A 19,752-nucleotide genomic window follows, 5' to 3' on the forward strand; every position below is an offset into this window, starting at 1 on the left:
CAGCCTCCCTGCCTCCAGCAGGAGAAAATCACAGCCTGGAGCTATAGAAATGAGTGCCGCCTTTCCCCTGCCCAGGGAGCTTAGTGTGTTAGGCTGTTGTGAGCCCCAGTGCTAGTTGCTGCCGCTCCCCCAAGGAGCTCAAATGGCTTAGACAGCAGGCAGCCCCAGCAGGTGCTGGTTGCCCTTCCCCCCAGGAGTTTAGTAGGCTTAAACAGATTCCAGCTGAGAGGCTGTAAGAATCTGCATGTTCCAGGGTTTGGACGCTAGGCCCCGGTCACATGGGTTCCTGAGTGGGATTTTCCAACTTGGGGGTTGCACAGTTCCATAGAAATAGCACAGTTTCCTCAGCTAGGTAGCATGCTCACTCACCACCTCCCTTGGCTGGGGGGAGGGGGTTCCCCTGCCTCTGTGGCTCTTAGATGGGCTGCTGCACCACACTCTTCTTCCTTCTCTCCATGAGTCACGCCAGCCTTCTAGTCAATTTTGATGAGAGAACCTGGATACCTTGGTTTCTGGTGAAGGATTCACATGCTTATTATGGTTTCATTCCACTGGGAGCCTCCGAACACTGCTGCTTCTAGTCGGCCATCTTGGCCCTGAAGGTCCTATTTTTATACCAGATTCTGGATCCCAAAAAGAGGGAATCATTCCATCTCCCATGGGAGTCTTATTTCTCAACAGAAGGGTGGGGATGTTGCCATACCTTCCAGGTGACCAAGAGCTTGCTTTTCTAATTCAAACGTGCAAGGAACCCGGTATCTCCCCATAACTGCCATCAGCCATCCCCAAAAGTATATGTCCTACCTAATTATTATACACAAAACCCTCGCATAACGTGAAGTAATTTCTTATACCCCAAAAGTAAAAAATGTCAGATAATGCAATGCAAAACAGAACAGAGCTTAGATTTTGAGAGGGATGTATCCACTTTCAATTCCTGAGGTTTCATGAGGAAAACAGAGGTTTTTTTTCCCAAAACAGGGTCTGTGGCACCTGTTTTGCCCAAGGAGTCCCAGGTTATTAGAGCTTGAATATAAGCTTTTAATTAAGCTGACTTTTTACCATAGCACTCTTAAAAAAATCCTTTTACATCTCTTATTACCTGACTTTAGGCACATCAAATGGCCAATATTTCTGGCTTTTAAACTTTACCAAAGGTAACCTCCTAGGTGCTCAGAGAAAGGAAAATTCAAGATGGCTCCTGGAGGGGAAGACAATCAACAAACAGTAAAGATCACACAGATATCAAATCAGAAAGGATGCATTCCCTAAGCCAGGAATTGAACCTAAACCCAAGCCACCATTGTAAAATGGTGAAACCTTAGCTGCTTAGCTACAGCATTTGGTGGTTTCTATTGCCCTTCCCAGAAGCAGCCTACAGCAGTCAATTTTGAGCTTGCAAAGTCTTTTAACTGCTCAAGATAATTTTTGGAGCTAACTATGTCATGAATTTCAAAATTCCTGGAAGGCAGAGATTAAGAGAAAGTACTGCCATGTGATTACAAGGTCAAGCTCCCAAGGACACAACTAACCAGTTTGCTGGACTGGCTTGAACAGCTGGCTTATGTGGTCCTAAGCCCATGTTCTATCCTAAGGTACTTCTCTTTATGATGGAGTGACACAGACAGACAAATTCATAGCACAAAGTACAGCATATTCACTACAGCTTCAGACTAGCCTCACAAATCTTTTTTCCATTAATGAAAAGTTTACAGTAGAGATAAACAGTGATTTTCACCATTCATTCAACTAGTTTACACAAAGTAAGAGAAGCCAGAAGCCTGACTGGTAAGAAATTCCTAACTCTTTGCTGGCATACCAGGCTTCTGGATTCCCTTTCCCTCAGGGGCCCTAGCAACCCTCCTTGCCACACTATAACCCTGGGGGCCAAGCTGAAACACAAAAGAAAATCTTTTTTTTTTTTTTTCTGTTTCATGGAATCACAGGCAAAGCCTCTCAATTTTGTAAGATGCCACCAAACCAACTGCATGGGGAACCCTAATTAACATTTTCCATTCTGGCTGGTGCAAAACACATGTGACAAAACATAGATATTAGCCACTCTACTTAGCACCCAAAATTGAAATGGCAAGGCTCAAAGTTGCCCATGGATGGGCCCTGTCATCTTTAATCCATTCAAAGTGGATTAAAGGAGTCTCAACATGTGATCTCTGGGCAAGATGGTCGCTCTGAGTAACAGAAAAGATAGAAAAGGGAAAGGAGAGAAAGAGAGAGAAAATCATTGCCTGCAGTGCGGTGGAGAAGGTAAAGAGCTCAGGGAGACCAGAGAAAGACCCATCCATTACAGCGACACTGAATCAAAAGTTCAGCCTTCTCGGCAGTGAAGGGATCTTTTCCAGCAGTCCCATCAGCTCTCAAGTGTCCCCCTTTGGGGAGAAGAAAGTTCCCCATGTCCCATGATACTACATATGTCTAATCCTGTCACCCATAGCCATCAGCAAAGAGCGCAAGGCAGATTAATCCAAAAAGAATAGTGACTAACATCCCATAGTACCAAATCCATTTTAACCAAGAAGGACTTTACTGAGGTGGGGGACCTCTAACCCCCTAAATCTTAGGAAGGACTGTAAGCCTTCCTAAGTTGGGCCTGGAACCCAAGTTCAGTCAAATATCCTTGTCTTTTATTAAGAGGGGCCTTTAACCCACTCTGTCTTAGGAGGGACGCTAACCCTCCAAAGTTAGACCTCCAACCCAATCCCACCCTTTACCTTAGTACCCCACCACTTACCCAAAGGCAGCCAATTGGTGCTGTAGTCTATCTCCTTTGGGTCAGGAGACTCCTTAATATTTTCCCTTCGTCCTTTGCCAGCAAGATGTTACTGGAAAGTGGTCCCAATCCAGACGCCAAGAAAGGGTTCTTGGATCTCACACAAAAAAGAATTCAGAGCAAGTCCATATAGTAAAGTGAAAGCAAGTTTATTAAGAAAATAAAGGAATAAAAGAATGGCTACTCCATAGGCAGAGGAGCCAAGCTTATTCTTTTTATGTATAAATCACAGCTGTACAGTATACTCATGGTATTAACATTTCATGGGTACAATGAAATGAAATTGAAAATCAAAAACAGAAGAAAATTTGAAAAATTCAAATATATGTGGAGATTAAATAACATACATCTGAAGGACCAATGATTTTCAAAGGAGAAACCACAAGGGAAATTGGAAAATACTTCTAGATGAATGTAAGTGAAAACACAGCATACCAAAACTAATGGGATACAATGAAAGCAGTGAAGAGAGGATTTATAACTGTAGACACCTACATTTTAAAAAGAAGAAATAACCCACATTTTCACATTAAGAAAAAAGAAAAAGAAGAGCAAGATGAACCAAAAGCAAGCAGAAAGAAGGAAGTAATAAATATTAGAGCTAAAGTAAATACAATAGAGAATAGAAAAATCATATAGAACCTCAATGAAACCAAAAGTTGTTTCTTTAAGGGCATCAACAAAATTGATTGTTGATGCCCTTAACAAAACTCAACAAAACTAGACTGATAACTACTTCAAGGGAGAGAAAGAGGGAGAGAGAAGACTCAAATTATGAAAATCAGGAAAGAAAGGGGGGACACTGGTAGCAATGTTCCTCCTTAGTAAAAAGGATTTTAATGAAATATGGTAAATAATGGTATGCTGACAAGTTAGATTACCTAGATAAAATGACAAATTCTTAGAAGACACAAACTACCAACACTGACTCAGGAAGAAATATAAAATCTGAATTCACCCATGACAAGTAAGGAGATTGAATCAGTTATCAAAAATTTTTTATTAAAGAAAAGCCCAGGACCAGATGGTTTTACTGGTGAGTTCTACCAAACACCCAAAGAAGAATTAGCACTAATCCTTCACAAACTCTTCTAATAAATAGAAGAGAAGGGAACATTTCCTAACTCATTCTGTAAGACCACTATTACCCTGATACAAAAGCCAGACAAAAGCATCATAGGAAAAGAAAACTATAGACCAATATCTGTTATGAATCTTCAACAGCATGGTAGTAAACATAATCCAACAACATATAGAAAGGATTATATATCATGACCAAATGAAATTTATTCCAGGAATTCAAGATTGGTTCAACACACAAAACTGAATCAATGTAATACAGCATATTATTGAATAAAGGAAAAAACTCCACATGATCATTTCACTAGATGCAGAAAAAGCATTTGACCCATATTCAACACCATTTCATAACAAAAATACTCAACAAACTAGGGGTAGAAGGAAATTCCTCAAACTAGTAAAATGCATCTTTGAAAATCCCACAACAAACATCATGCTTACGGTGAATGACAGAAAGCCTTCCCCTTAAGATTAGGAAAGCCAAGGATACCTGCTCTTACCACTTATATTCAACAGAAAAAAGGCATCCAGATTGGAAAGGAAGAAGTAAATATATCTATTTGCAGATGGCATGATCTTATATGTGGAAAACCATAAAGAATCCACAAATAAGCTAGCAGAGCTAACAAACAAGCTCAGCAAGTTTGCAGGATACAAGCTCAATGTACAAAAGTGAGGGGTAATTATACATACCAGTAATGAGCAATCACATATATAAGCAATGAGTAATCTAAAAATAAAATCAAGAAAACAATTACACTTAACAATAGCATAAAAAAATACTTAAGAGTAAATTTAACCAAAGAAGCATAAGACATTTACACTGGAAGCTACTGGATATTGCTGAAAGAAATTAAAGAAGACCTAAATAAATGGAAAGACATCTGGTATTCTTGCATTGGAAGCTTAATATTGTCAAGATGGCAATATCCCCTAAATTAATTACAGATATAATGCAATCTCTAACAAAATTCCAACTTCCTTTTTTTCAGAAATAGATGAGCTGATCCTAAAATTTATGTGGAATTACAAGGAACCCAGAATAATAAAAATAACCTTATTCTTGAAAAATAAGAACAAAATTGAAGGATGTACACTTTCTGATTTCAAACCCTACTTCAAAGAAATACTACTTCAAACAGTATAATACTGATATAAATTTAGACAAATAAACCCATACATGTATGGTCAGCTGATTTTTGACAAGGATGATAAGACCATTCAATGAGAAAGAAATGGCCTTTTCAACAAATCGTGCTGGGACAACTTGATATCCACATGCAAAGTAATGAATTTGGACTGCCTTCCTCATGCTATATGCAAAAATTAACTCAAAATGGATCAAATACTTAAATATAAGAGGCAGAATTATAACATTTTTAGAAGAAAACGTAGGCATGCATCTTTATGACCTTTGACCAAGACAGTGGCTTCTTAGATATGACACCATAAGCACAAGCAATGAAAGAAAAAACAAATAAACTGGACTTCACCAAAATTTAAAAAAGTTTGTGTATTAAAAGACACTATCAAAAACAGTGAATAGACTACCCATACTATGGGAGAAAATATTTGCCCATCATATATCTGAAAATAGTTAACTGTCCAGAATATAAGAAGAACTTTTATAACTCAACATTAAAAAAAAAAAGAAACTAAAAAATGAGCAAAGGATTTGAATATTCATTTTTCCAAAACAGATACATAAATGGCCAATAAGCAACTGAAAATATGTTCAACATCATCAGTCGTTAGGAAAATGCAAATCAAAATGATGATGAGATAAAACTTCATAGCCACTAGGAGGCTTATATAAAGTTTTTAAAGGAAGAAAGAAAGAAAATAACAGTGTTGGTGAGGATGTGGATAAATTAGAATCCTCATACACTGCTGGTGAGACTGTAAAATGATTCTACCCCTAGGTCCACACCCACTGAAAAAAAATATGTTCACACAAAAACTTGTACCTGAATGTTTATAGTAGCATTATTCATAATAACCAAAAAGTGGAAACAATCCCTATGTTTATCAACTGATGAGTAGATGAAACAAATATAGTGTATCCATACAATAAAATATTATTCAGCCATAAAAAAGAATGGAGTATTGATACATACTACTACATGGATGAACCTTGAAAACATTATGCTAAGTAAAAGAAACCAGTCACAAAAGACCACTTATTATTTCATGTCTATAAAAGGTCCCAAATGGGAAAATCCATAGTGACAGAACATAGATTCCTTGTTGCCAGGGGCTGGACGAGGCAAGAATGGAAAGTTACTGCTAAGGAGCATGGGATGCCCTTTGAGGATGATAAAAATGTTCTGGAATTAGACAGTGGTGGTGCTTGTACAACTTTGCAAATATACCATCAACCACTGAATTTTAAACTTTAAAATGATGAATTTTATGGTATGTGAATTATATCTCAATTTTTAAAGAGGGAAGAGGTAGACAGAGGAAGGGAGTAAGAAAAAGAGATGCCATAGAAGATGGAGAAAAGGGATCACAACTCAAGGCATGCAGGTGGCCTCTAGAAGCTGGCAAAGGCAAGAAAACAGATTTTCCCCTTGAGCCTCCAGAAAGGAAAACAGCCCTACTAGCACCTTGGACCTTGACTTTAGTCCATTGAGATCTTTGTCAAACTTTTGACCTACAGAACTATACTCATGTTTGTGGTAATTTGTTATAGCAGCAGTAGAAAACTAATACAGTATTTTTGACATGTGTAAGTGGAAATGTCCAGTATGAAATTTCATATGTAAGTCTAGAGTTCAGAAGAGAGATTTGGGCTAGACATATAATAGCAATTTCTAGGTGCTATTTCAATACATTTGTATTCAATACATATGTATGAAAGAATTAATCCACTGAATATCTGCAGGTATCTGAGGTTAATTATTACCTATTATTTACATTTTTAATATCAAGGCACAGAGAGTTTCAATAACTTCCTTGAGGCATGCGACTATTAAGTGGTAGAGCTATGACTCAAATGTGGGGAGTCTGGCTTCAGAGTTGGGTCACTTCTCACAAATAAATAGATTTGTGAATTATCATGTAGGTTATAATTGAAGCTATCTGAGAAACACCTATTAGTAACATGGAACACATCAGTCACATTTGCAAGAGCTCTTTTGGTGGAGTGTGAGGCAGAGGCCAGATTGGGTTGATGAGTGAATGAGGGTTCAGAAAGTGGAGATGTGAGTGTAGACAAGTTTTCTGGAAAATATGTCTGTGAAGAGGGAAAGAGAGATAGCATCATATCAGCAGGAGAATGGGAGTTGAGAAGGGTAGTTTTTCAATGAAAGTCTTGATGATGTGTTAAAAACTGTTCAGAAATTCTGATGGAGGGGGGTGAGTCTGTAAAAGTGAGAAAGAATAGTTATTCCTGTTTAAGAATTCTGAGAAGAAAAGAGGAGGGGGATATAGGACACTGGAATGATTGGCCTTAGATAGGAAAGGGACAGTTCCTTTATTATATCTGAATGGAGTGAAAGGGATGGGTGTAAGCTGATATATTTGGTTTTAAGAAGTTGAGGAAATTTCTGAGGGCTTCTGTATTTTATTCTCTCATACGAAGTAGGAGTCAAGGTCGCCCTCTGAGCGTGGGGGAGGTGGTAAAAATGTAGGCGAAGTCAGTGGCTGTGACAGTGGCACCGCAGCAGAGAATCAGCAGTTTGAGAAGAGTGAAGAAGACTTGAATAATCATTTTGGAGAACAGGAGATTAAGTTACCCAGAGAAACATCGTCATATTTTTGTCAGCCTCAAGGGCTCATTTAAGGATTTATTTGATTTGCTACCATCCTCTTAAGTTGTTCACAAATTACTACACGTCTTAGATTTCTCCTCACTCCCAACAGTATTGTAAAATTCTTCTTCGAATTTCATCTCAATGTCTAGGATAGTGTTGAGAAATATTTAGGAAATATTTTTGGATTAATTAGGGTATTCGATTAATCTGAATACTTCGGTTCCCAACATTTCTAGATAAAGGAAGTTTACTGTAACATGTTTATAAAAGGCAAATAAGCTAGACATCTCCTTTCAAATAGGATTTCAATAGAAATCTTCCATTTTTTTAAAAAAAGGTCGGCTATACAATATCTGTTTTAAAATTAACAAAAAAATTACAAAAAGACCTTATCCCACAAAAGAGAGAGAAAAAAAGTTTGAACCCTCTCATTTTTATTTTGAGGTTAATAAACTTCATTTTATAAATTTATAGATCCATTACTAGTGGAATAAACATTCACATGGGTGTGTTGAGTAGTGAGAACGTGAGCTCTTTTTTGAGGAAGCAGACGGTGAAATGAGACACGAGGGATGGCTCTGGGCAGAGATAAGGGAACTCCTGCCAAACTCCTTTCCTGCTTGTTACTGTCCACAAATATGTGTGTGGTTGCAATCGAGCTTCTTTGAGGCCCTGTTCCATGCCAGAGGCTGATAAAAAAAATGTGACCATTTAGTTACAAATGGAAATCTCACAGCATGTGAAGCATAGCAACCAAGAGAGTCCCAAGGAGATTACCCAGCAACAATCAGAAAGTTAAAAACAAAGCAACACAGTAACCAAAACATAACCCAAACTATAGAGCCAAGGAAAGCAGGAAACATTCTAGGCAGAGCAGAGATGCTCTGTGTCAGGTTCAATTCAACAGTGTCACAAGATTTGTACTTCCTCACTCATATTTAGCAGATGCCTACTGTGTGGCAGTGCTTTGCCAGGGGCTAGGAATTTTAAATTGAGTAAGAAATAGTCCATGTCTTCAATGAAATAACCCCAGCAGTACAGTGTGACAAATGCTAGGAAGAGGCATCAGCAAAGTACCATGGGAGAAAAGGAGATTTGGGGTGTCTGGGGATATGTTTAATTTGAGGTGTGTTGGGACATTCAGTTGGAACTGAACTGATCTCAGACTTCATTTGGCAGTTGGATTTATAGGCTATAGCTTGGAGCAGATAGTATGAATGGTGATATATGATAAGAGTATCTATAGGTTGTAGGCCAAGTGCAGTGGCTCATGCCAGTAATCCCAGCACTTTGGGAGGCTGAGGTAGGTGGACCATTTGAGGTCAGGAGTTCAAGATCAGCCTGACCAGCTGGTGAAACCCCATCTCTACCAAAAATACAGAAAAATTAGCTGGGTGTGGTGGTGCATGCCTGTAGTCCCAGCTACTTGGGAGGCTGAGGCAGGAGAATCGCTTGAACCCTGGAGGCAGAGGTTGTCACAAGCCAAGATCACACCACTGCACTCCAGCCTGGGTGACAGAGTGAGACTCCATCTCAAAAAAAAAAAAAAAAGTATCTATAGGTTGTAGTTGAAGTTAAGGAGTTTGGAGAGAGTCATGAGGGTACAATTAAAATGACTGAAGAGCTCTGGGGAGTATTGGCATTTAATGGAGAAAACAAGAAGAGGAAGATGGAAGGAGGTAGAAGTAAACCAGGAAAGCAACAGAAATGGAGGCAAGAGTGAGCACCAAGAAGTGTCCAATGCTGCACAGCACTCCAAAGTATATGTTGAATTTGGAAAGGAGGAGATCACTGGTGACATTCATTAGCCAGCTTAGAGCCATGAAAATTAAGGAAGGAGAGAGAGCAAATGTAAATACATTCTTGGTATTGTAAAGGAAAATCCAGCAACTTTTCCACTTGAATAGCACACTTTGACACAAGCTTCAAGCAGCTAGTCTAGTAGGCTCTAGTTCAACTCTAAACTCTTTTTCGTCATTTAAATAAGATCTACTTTCAAGCCCTGAGAAGCCAGGAAAGAGAGTATGAAGTGAACTGACACTTGAGTAGTTATCAGGTCCTGGTCTTTTACATACATTATTTCATTTAATACCCACAAAACCATTTAAAGAAGTTATCATTTTTTAGTTTAAGATTCAAAGGAATGATAAAAGTGAGGTGTAAGTTGTAGCATTGCTTACTAACCTCAACTGTTACCACTTTGTTTTGATTTTATAGCCTCAGGAAGACTTAACATTTATCTTATGTTATCTTTACCTTATGCTTATGAGTCTTCCAGGTTTTGAAAAGTCTTGGGCCATTGGCTATCTGTGACCTATCGGAATACTTCTTTTAGGGTCACTCCCACCTTCTCTTGCAAGTTGCATTACAGGAGCATCACCTGCATCAGAGCTTCCTGTGTCGGCGCTCCTGGCTCATCACTTAGCTGATCCCCCTTCTGCAATTCTTAGGGGATCTTCAAACTTCAACATCTATTCTTTTTTGTTTTCTTTGGTTATCAACTTAAAAGATCACATCGCATCTCCCTAAAACCTATATCCAATCCTATGATGATTTTCTTCCAACTGGAAAAATGTACTCTGAGCAACTAATTTAAATCATTCACCTGCCACTCATATTTCCATTTCATATAAACTGCTATTTATGAATTTCAGAAAAATTGAGTGTTATCAATTCCATGAGGGCTTTGGGTGATCACTTGAGCTTTATTATGCACTGAATGTTTGTGTTCCCCCAAAATTCATATGTTAACACCCTGCTTCCCAAATATGATGGTATTAGGAGTTGGGGCCTTTGGGAGGTAATTAGGATTAGATGAGGTTATAAGGGTAGGGACCCTATGAATGAGATTACTGCCCTTATCAGGGTCCTGAAAGAGCTTGCCTCCCCTCTCTGCTCTTCAGTATGTGAGGATAAAACAAGAAACTTGGCAGTCTGCAACTTGGAAGAGGATCTGCACCAAAGCCGGACCATGCTGGCATCCTGATCTCAGACCTCCAGCCTCCAGAACTGCGAGAAATAAGTTTCTGTTATTTATAAGCCATCTATTCTATGATGCTTTTTTATAGCAGCCTGACAAACACCAGGTTCTTGGAGGAAGTGATGGGAATATGGACTCTTGATGCTTTTCTTTAATTTAATGTTTATGTAGTTTTTTGTATTTTAAAATTTATATGATTTACATATTAGTGAGGTCAGTCTACTATTTTAATGTCTAGGAGATGTATTAACTTGTATAAACAGGACCCCAAAATGGTATAGATTAATTGAAGAACCTTTTTAAAGCAATCTATCATTTTAAGGGTACATCTCTGAGAATCTGATTTTTTATAGCATTGTTTTTGAAATAAGAAACTCTCAAGAACTTGTCCTCTTAGCCCACATGTGGACAGCTCCAGGCAGTTTAATCAGGTCTCTGTGTTGCTGAACAATGTACCTTATACAAAATCACATCTGGGGCTAAACCTCAACTCATTTCAATTTCTCAAGCAACATGTGAACAAAACAATATTTACTTTAAATATCACAAGCTGTATGTTCATGTTGACATATAATATTAAGATTAAATCACATAGCCTAAATGCCTACTTTTTATTTGGTTTAAAAGTTCATTTAAATACTATCTTATTTCCTAGAGGCTTAGACTCTTAAACCAGAAAGCCTTTTCTACGTTACACTGTAAAATCAAGCTATTGGATTTAAAAAGTTCACCAAACATGAACAGAAAGCTAACACCACTTTTAAATGATTCTGGAGTAGCATTAAAAAACCCTCAATTTGGAAGGTCATTGAATTCAAATCCAATCTCTTTATGCTTAAAGAGCCTATAAAATAGCTCTTCAGGCATAAAGGTATAATGATTAATGTAAATATTCCTTATACTTAAAAAATTTTGACTTTACCTTCAATCCATTTGTCTTAACCATAACTTCTGGCTCCATTATAAACATATTTAATTCACTTCTAATTGACAATTCTTTTTATTTTTTAAGGGAAACTTGTATATCCCTCCTAAGGTTAGCTTTGTTGTATGATTTTGATGTGCATGGCTACTTTGGGGTGAGACAGGGAACAACCAATATCTTGCCATTCCCATTTTTCTAGACATTGGTATTGAATCTAGAAAGAAAGAAATGAAAGGACTGAAATGTCTGCAAAAAATTCCAAAGTAGAAGTTTTAAGGAATTTTTTTAAATAAAGAAAGTCAGATAAAAATGAACTGGAAAAAATGTATAATTGCTGTGCAAATGGTCATTTTTTGGAAATAAGACAAACTTTCTCCATCAGAAGGAGGAAATGGTTGCATATGGGCTAATAGTTTTGTAGGAAAACTGGCGATTATTACAAGGACAGAACTGCAAAAGTGTAATATCTAGTTTTAGTCTAGAAAGTAATTGGGCTAAGTGAAGCTCAATTCTCTGATGGATTGCAACCTATCTGAGAATATGGCCTCTGTAATACTTTGGGAATGGAATTTTGTGCCAGAATTTAAAAACCTTAGTAAATTGCCAGAATTGAGAGAGAAAGAAGGCTTGGTGTTGGGTACTGTTAGTTGAAAGTTGTCAAGGAAGAAACACAACCAGGTGAAATAAGGAAAGATTTCAAAGGCATAAAAGGAGTAACAGGGAGGGCAAACCTTGACTTTCTTATCCATCACCTTATTGAAGGGTGGTCTAGTTAGATAATGCTAGAAGAGCTGAAAGTGACCTCGAGAACCTCTGCTTCTACCACTTCATTTTTAGATGACAAAATTGAGCCTCGAGAAAAGCTACTTGGTGGTAGACCTGGGATTCGAACCAAGAAACTCTGTTCTCAGTCTTTGGGAAAAAATTATTTTATTTAACATCACCTAACATGTTCTCATTAGTTATTGCTAAGGTATTATAATAAAAACAATGCTGTGGTTGCATGTAAATGTATACAAATGAACATCATCATCATCATCATCATCACTATTTTTCTGAGCATTTGGAAAGAAAACTGTTGCATTTGTCTTAGATAAAAGACTCAGATAATTCCCTAGAAGCCTGAGGACAAGATTCTAGATCAATCCTCTAAACTAGGTTGATTCCTCATCCACTTTCTGACCTCCTACTTTCTTGGTGAGAAATGATTATTGACCCTCCTCAATGAGGGTGTAATGATAGAGCATAGTATTTTGTCCCCTATTGGATGTTGCATGGAGAGTTGGGCTGAAATTCTTCTGTGCAAGTGAGAAGCCATAAAGGGAAGAAAGGGTCAGACACTTCCAAATCTTTGGATTTTCTTAGTTCCTCTTTTGTAAGCCTCAATTGTTGTGTGTAGTCAGCAGGGTCCCAGAGGCAGACCACCACGGACCATCTTGGCAGTACTTGTCAGCAGCAGTGTCCAGCTCCCAGGGACTAACTCAGTTAGTGGTAGCTCTTGTTCCTAGTGACAGAGCCTTCCTGGGGCTGCTCCAGTAGCAGCCAGAGCTCCTAAGGAGAAGCAGCTCTGCCAGTCTTCCAAGTCCCAAGCTCCATCTCCTTCAGCAACAACACAGGTCTCCATTATTCTTTCTGAAGATACCCTTTGTCCCAGTTCCTACTGAATCCAGCAGTGTTTTTCAATCTGTGTGTTTCAGATGCCTGAGAAGTCACCAAATTACTGCAAGAACAAGTGAATTAATATTTACATAAAGTATGTATGTTAATAAGCTGAATAAATGTTAATAGTTACTGTACTTATACTCTGTACTGTACTAAGCCCTTTGCACACATTATCTCATTTAATCCTCATAAAAATGCTATGAGGTAGGTGTAATTATGACCCCCATTTTACAGGTGAGGCAACTCAGTCTCAGAGAGGTTAAGCAAATTGCTGAAGATCATGAGACCAGGAAATGGATAAACTGGTCTTCAAATCCAGGTCATTTAATCTCAAAGTCTACGATCTTAATCATAACATAAGTATGTCTCTTACATATGTGTATTACTTTTTTACAAATGTTTTTGTGTTTTGATTTAAAAGTTATAGATGAAAAGTATTATGTAATTTGTAGTAGATTTTTAAATCTTTGTTTATTTTCACTATTTTCTACACTGAAAGTACCTCAACTGCCATATGATTGGTACATGACACAGTCTTTTTAAAGAGCTCTTTCAAGGATTTTTACTCAAGGCCTTTAAAAAATATAGTAGAGAAAAATGACTTTGTAAGTCAATGGAACATCATATTTGTACCTGACCTCTTAGCAGCATTCTGTTGTTCCTTAAGCAGGGGACCCTATCACTGATTGATCCCTTGAGTCAAATAAGCAATGAGGCACCTCTCAAGACTTTGAGTTACATTCAAATCATCAATTCTGACACAAAAAATTGGAATAGACAAAACATGGTGAAATGAACTTAATTGACTAGCTATTTCATTCATTTATTCACCCATTCAATACATTTTATTGTCTCCTACCAGGCATTGAGTTAGGAACTAAAGATGCAGCCTTCCAAGCAAGAAGTGGTGTTTGTCAATTGCAAGAAAATGTGACACCTGACTAGTTACTTTGCCTGTAAAAACTCTTTTATTCTTTGTTTTTAATATTTATATTCTACATACCCTCACCCTCTAAAAATTTACTTAGCAAATGCAAAACTTAGGAAATATAGGCCAATTAGAGTTTCGCTCTAAAAAATAATCAGGTCCTACTTGGTCTGCTCCCCAGGGCTCTGAAACATCACTACCCATGGGTCACTCTACAGGGACCCTAGTTACCATGGCTGCTAGCTAAATCTTTGAATCCAGTTTTGTGCTTTACTGTGTGGGGGCTCTGCTTGGACACAAAGGAAGGATTACAGAGAAATTTCTCAAAAAGCCTTTAGTTCGTCTTTTGATTCTAAAGAAAAACTATGACTGATAGATTTTTGGGAAATGGCATTTCAAATCTTTAGGTTAGAATCAGAAGACAGGTTAGACAGGAGGAATTTAGGGGGCTTTTGCGTACTTGGAAATCAGCATCAAGACAGCCTTGCTGCTAGCCTCAGGAATAAGGCCTACTTCTAAAAATTGGGTTTGGCCATGGCCTCTGGGCCTGAACCCTTCTTAACCTCAGTCTTTCTTTTTTTTCCTAACATGTCAGCAGTGCTGAAGCCTTGCTAACTGCTGGCAGACTTTTCTAGTGCTGTCTGCTTGTAGCCTGTCCTGGATCCCCCATAATTGGGCACTGCCTACTTGGTCATGTAGTGGTGAATACTCTTTTTTGGCTTACCTTTCACGTGGATGTTGCCCTGCCTATTGATAACCATTTTTCATTCATTCAACAAATATTTATTGCATGCCAGGCATTGTTCTGGGACCTGGAAATATAACAGTGAATAAAATAGACAAAACCAACAACAATGACAACAAAAACCCCTTGCCTTCATGAAGCTTCACATTCTAATAGATAGTGAAGTCTGATGAGCTGGCTTGCTTCCTCATCAGCCACAGCTGGATACTTTCCCCTATAACTGCACATTCTGTTTCCAGGTCCTAATTCTCTATAGTCTGTGGTCCCACTGCAGCGAAGGAAACTGTCCTCTTACAGGATAAAGAGTGTTATATGAAGAAAGGAAACAGGACCAAAAGCAAGTAAATAGGGGTGGCATAAACTTAGAGATAGAAATATGTTCAGGTTTGCAAAAATTCGAGGAACAATAAATAAAACTTTTAAAGTGTATTTAACAAAGAGAAACAAAGATGCAGCAGCCTACTGGGTGTAGTTTAGTCAGCAGTGATCTATTACTGAAAGATTACTTAGAAAAAACCAAGCTCCTCAACCTCAGTTTTACTTGTGTCTTTTTGCAGAGGAGAGTAGGGAGAGGAGTAGGAGGGAAGGAGAGACTCCTTAGCAAGAGAAAGAGAAGCCCAAAGTGGGAGAACATAATTATATTCTAAATAGTTTCCCAACTCTGATAACTTGCATCCCAGTGTTCTGTGGAAGATGTTCAAATTGCATTGCTGATCTAATCTGGAAAGAATGTAGAACTGTAAAGGGTGGTAGAAGTGGCAGGAAACTGGGCATGGTTAAATACTGTTCCCATTTTGAAGAAGTGGGAGATTTTGCATAATAAACATCAGTGACTAGATGTTGGATATTTAAAGGTATATAAACTATTTATTGATAGACAAGGCTTATAGATTTATTTCTTCTGGGACACAAACATGATGTGGCCATAGAGGCCAGTGGCCTCAGTATGCTTAGTCTTGGACATGAAAGCTGAAGTATCATGTCTTGGCTGGATGCAGTCATTCATGCCTGTAATCCCAGCACTTTGGGGGGCCAAGGTGGGAGGATCGCTTGAACCCAGGAGTTCAAGACCTGTCTAGGCAACATGGTAAAACCCTGTTTCTACAAAAAAATACAAAAATTAGCCAGGCATAATGACACACACTTGTAGTCCCAGCTACTCAGGAGGATGAGGAGGGAGGTTTGTTTGAGTCCTAGGAGTTGTAGCCTGTAGCAAGCTATGATCCCACCACTGCAATACAGCCTGGACAATAGTGAGATCCTACGTCTTGAAGAAGGAAAGAAAGAAAGAAAGAAAGAAAGAAAGAAAGAAAGAAAGAAAGAAAGAAAGAAAGAAAGAAAAGAAGAAAGAAAGAAAGAAAGAAAGGTAGGAAGGAAGGAAAGAAAGAAAGAAGGAAGGAAGGAAGGAAAGGAAGAAAGAAAGAAAGAGAAGGAGAGAAAGAGAGAAAGAGAAAAAGGGAGAGAGAGAGATAGAGAAAGAAGAAAAAAAAGAAAGAAGAAAAGAAAGAAAGAAAAAGTGGCATGGTCTCTGGTGGGGAAGAATCTTCTTTATTTGCTGCAGATCTTCACAGAGCTTGTTGTCCAGACCTTTGGCCAGGACTCAGCTGTAATTTCCATCCTTCACGTCCTTCTGTCTGTTTAAGAACCAATCTGGGATCTTGTACTGGCCTGGGTTTGGCATGATGATGATCACACATATCACTTCATGCTCAGTGAATCCTCTAACCTCTTGATGAGGTCAATCTCTGTTTTCCCCAACAACACATGAGCATGTTTTCATCTCACACTCTTAATGGTACTGATGGTAAATTTCTGCCATCCATTGATGTTGGTGTTGAGTGCAGTCGTCCCTTGGTATGCACAGTGTATTGGTTTCAGAACTCCCAGAGGATACCAAAATCCTTGGATGCTCAAGTCCCTTATATAAAATGGTGTAGTATTTGTATATAACCTATGCACATATTCTCATATACTTTAAATCATCTCCTGATTACTTGTAATATCTAATACAACATAAATGCTATGCAAATAATTGTTACACTCTATTATTTAGGAAATAATGACAAGAAAAAATGTCTGTGCATGTTCAGTAAACACAACCATCCATTTTTACCAGGTATTTTTTAATGCAAGGTTGGTTGAATCCTCAGATGTCGAGCCCATGGATACTCTCCACAGCCAGAGAGAGAGTACTGACTGCACTTGCAAAAATTGCTGGAGTATAGCAGGGATTATGAGAGATATGGTAGTAGCATGTAGACCTCCTGTGGGAGAGAAATAGTGGATTTTTTAAAAGTTTGTTTGGAAGCTTCTAGATTAGGATTGGGCAAACTATGGCCCACAGGCCAAATGCAACCCATTGCTTATTCTTGTTAATAAAGTTACATTCCAAGGAAGCCATGCCAATTTATTTATGCATTGTCTATGTCTGCTTTCATGCCACAATAGCAGAGTTGAGAAGATTATCATATGGCCTACAAAATTCTAAATATTTACTTCTTATGTATTGCTTTATAGAAAACTTTGATTCTAGGTAGAAAAAGCACTGGGCACTAGGACTTGAGTTTGCTAGGAACAGTTACGTCCAATGAAACAATAATTTCTTTTTGGTCAGACTTTCCAGACAGAACAGGGAAATGTTATTCACACTGAGCATCTGGTCTTCACTAAAAATTCAACCACCATTTCTTGAGTATTTACTATATAACAAGCATTCGGAATATAAAGATGAAAAATTGTGTGGAACAGGAGCCACATACATAAGGGGATAATTCCAAATAAAGTAGTACTTGCTATGAGAGGAGTGTGTCCAGAATGGTGCAAGAGCTCTGAGGGGGACGTTTACTAAATCTGGGATTTATAGCAAAGGAATACAGTGGGATCAGTGGGTAGAAAATTACTAAGAGGAAACATCAAGGATAGACGGCCAGAGAGTTTCTGGCCAAACTGACTTGATGGGGTTAGACATGAAGAAGACAAAGTGCAAGATGAGTACTAAAGACTAAAGAACAAGCAAGAATTAGGTCTGAGATGAAGCAAGATTCCAAGCAGAGAGATCCACTTCAGCAGTGGCTCATGGCACAAGATAACATGTTTAGTGGGAGAATAAAATTCAGTGTGACATTATTATAAAGTGCAAAGTGGGAAATGGCAGGAGCTGCAGGTTGAGGCCGGGTTCAAAGAAGGAATGTTTTTGCCATGCTGATGAATTTGAACTTTATTATAGAAGCAAAGTATTTCAATATACTGAAGTATTTTAATTGCTGGAGTAAAACTGTCAGATTTGCAACTTAAATGAGCCCATTTGGCAATGATGTGAGACAAAAGAAGAAACAGGGAGCCTGGCTCAGGGGTTACTAATAGAAACCAATCAAAAAGAGGTTAGTGCCTGGACTGGGGCAGTGTTAGTATGGGTTGAAAGGAGGAGCACATTCGAGAAATATAGGATGTAAGATAGGCAAAAATTAGCAACTGATTAGACTTAGTGATGCAAGAATATGATAAATCTAGAGTAACCCATAGATTTCTGGCCTAGACAAGTGATGTCATCAATTGCTGATATGGGAAAGGCAGAAGGAGAACCAGGTTTGGGCATGGTAAAGATGAAGAATTCGGTTCTGAACATGTTGAAGAGAGGAACCTGTAGGTAATCTATTTGGAGATTTCCAGAAAGAAGTTATATATGGTCCTGAAACTTAGGGGGGAAATGGGGCCAAGTACTTGTACATCAGGGTACAAGTAGTGGTTAAAAATAAGTAGAAAAGCATATGGATTAAAAAGCATGGATCCAAGTGGAACCATCAAGAGACCAAAATTTTCCAGCAATGAGAAGAAGAGGAGTAAATTACAAAGGAGACCAAGAAGGAACTGTCAGGAAGAGGACTCATTTCCCATAAATTACTTATGAAAAAAATGAATAAATATGGTCTGGATTAAAGGGCAATTAGACAAATTGGAGCTAGTTGAATTAGCATATCTAAATGCCTAGTGTCATCCTGCAGGGAGGACCCTATAGGAGAGAAGCAAGACCCTTTATTGTATCTGCCATTTCAATCAATGCCATAGGTAAAAGACAGGCTCTTTAAAAGTTTGGATGAAGTGAAGCTGAGAGGAATAGAAAATACACTAGATAAAAGAATTAGATATGATGAGGTCTTGACTTGCTAGATCTTGACTAGCTAGAGCCATAGACTCTATCTAATAAAATAAAATTTTTAAAAGATGAAATTTTCAGTGGCACAAGTACAGGTTGGAGTTAATGTGACTTAGTCATTAACTGCAGAAAGAAAAAATTACAGGAATTAGTTGATAATTAACTTAATATGAGTCAACAGCATGAATTGGCTGCCAAAAAGAGATGAGTTTGTAATGATTTAATTGAAGCATAGTATCCAGAACAGTGGTTCTTGAACTTAACTACACAGTATAATCACCTGGGGAATTTTTGTAACTCCTGCTCTAGTCATTCTCTGTACCAATTAAATCGGAATCTCTGTAGGGGTGGGATCTAGGCATCAGTTATGTTTTAAAAACTCTACAGGTGATTCCAATGTGCATCCAATTTTTGAGAACAAGTAAATAGAATCTAGACTGTTAAATAAAAAAATTCAAAACACTTGTTGAAGGCAGTAAGGCAGACTAGATTCAGGTGAGAAGGGGCATGGCGATAGGTTTAGGGACCACTGCAACAGGCTCTTGCAGTAGGGGAGAGAGATTGGGCTCGACTGTAACTCCAACAAGTAGAAGTGGGGATTTATAGCCAAAGAACACAGTGGGATCAGTGAGTAAAAAATTACTAAGAGGAAACATCAAGGATAGATGGACAGAGGGTTTCTGGCCAAACTGACTTGATAGGATTATTGCTGAAAGCAGACCAGGGTGATACA

This window comes from Homo sapiens, chromosome 6, assembly GCF_000001405.40.
Source record: "Homo sapiens chromosome 6, GRCh38.p14 Primary Assembly".
NCBI classification, from domain to species: Eukaryota; Metazoa; Chordata; class Mammalia; order Primates; family Hominidae; genus Homo; species Homo sapiens.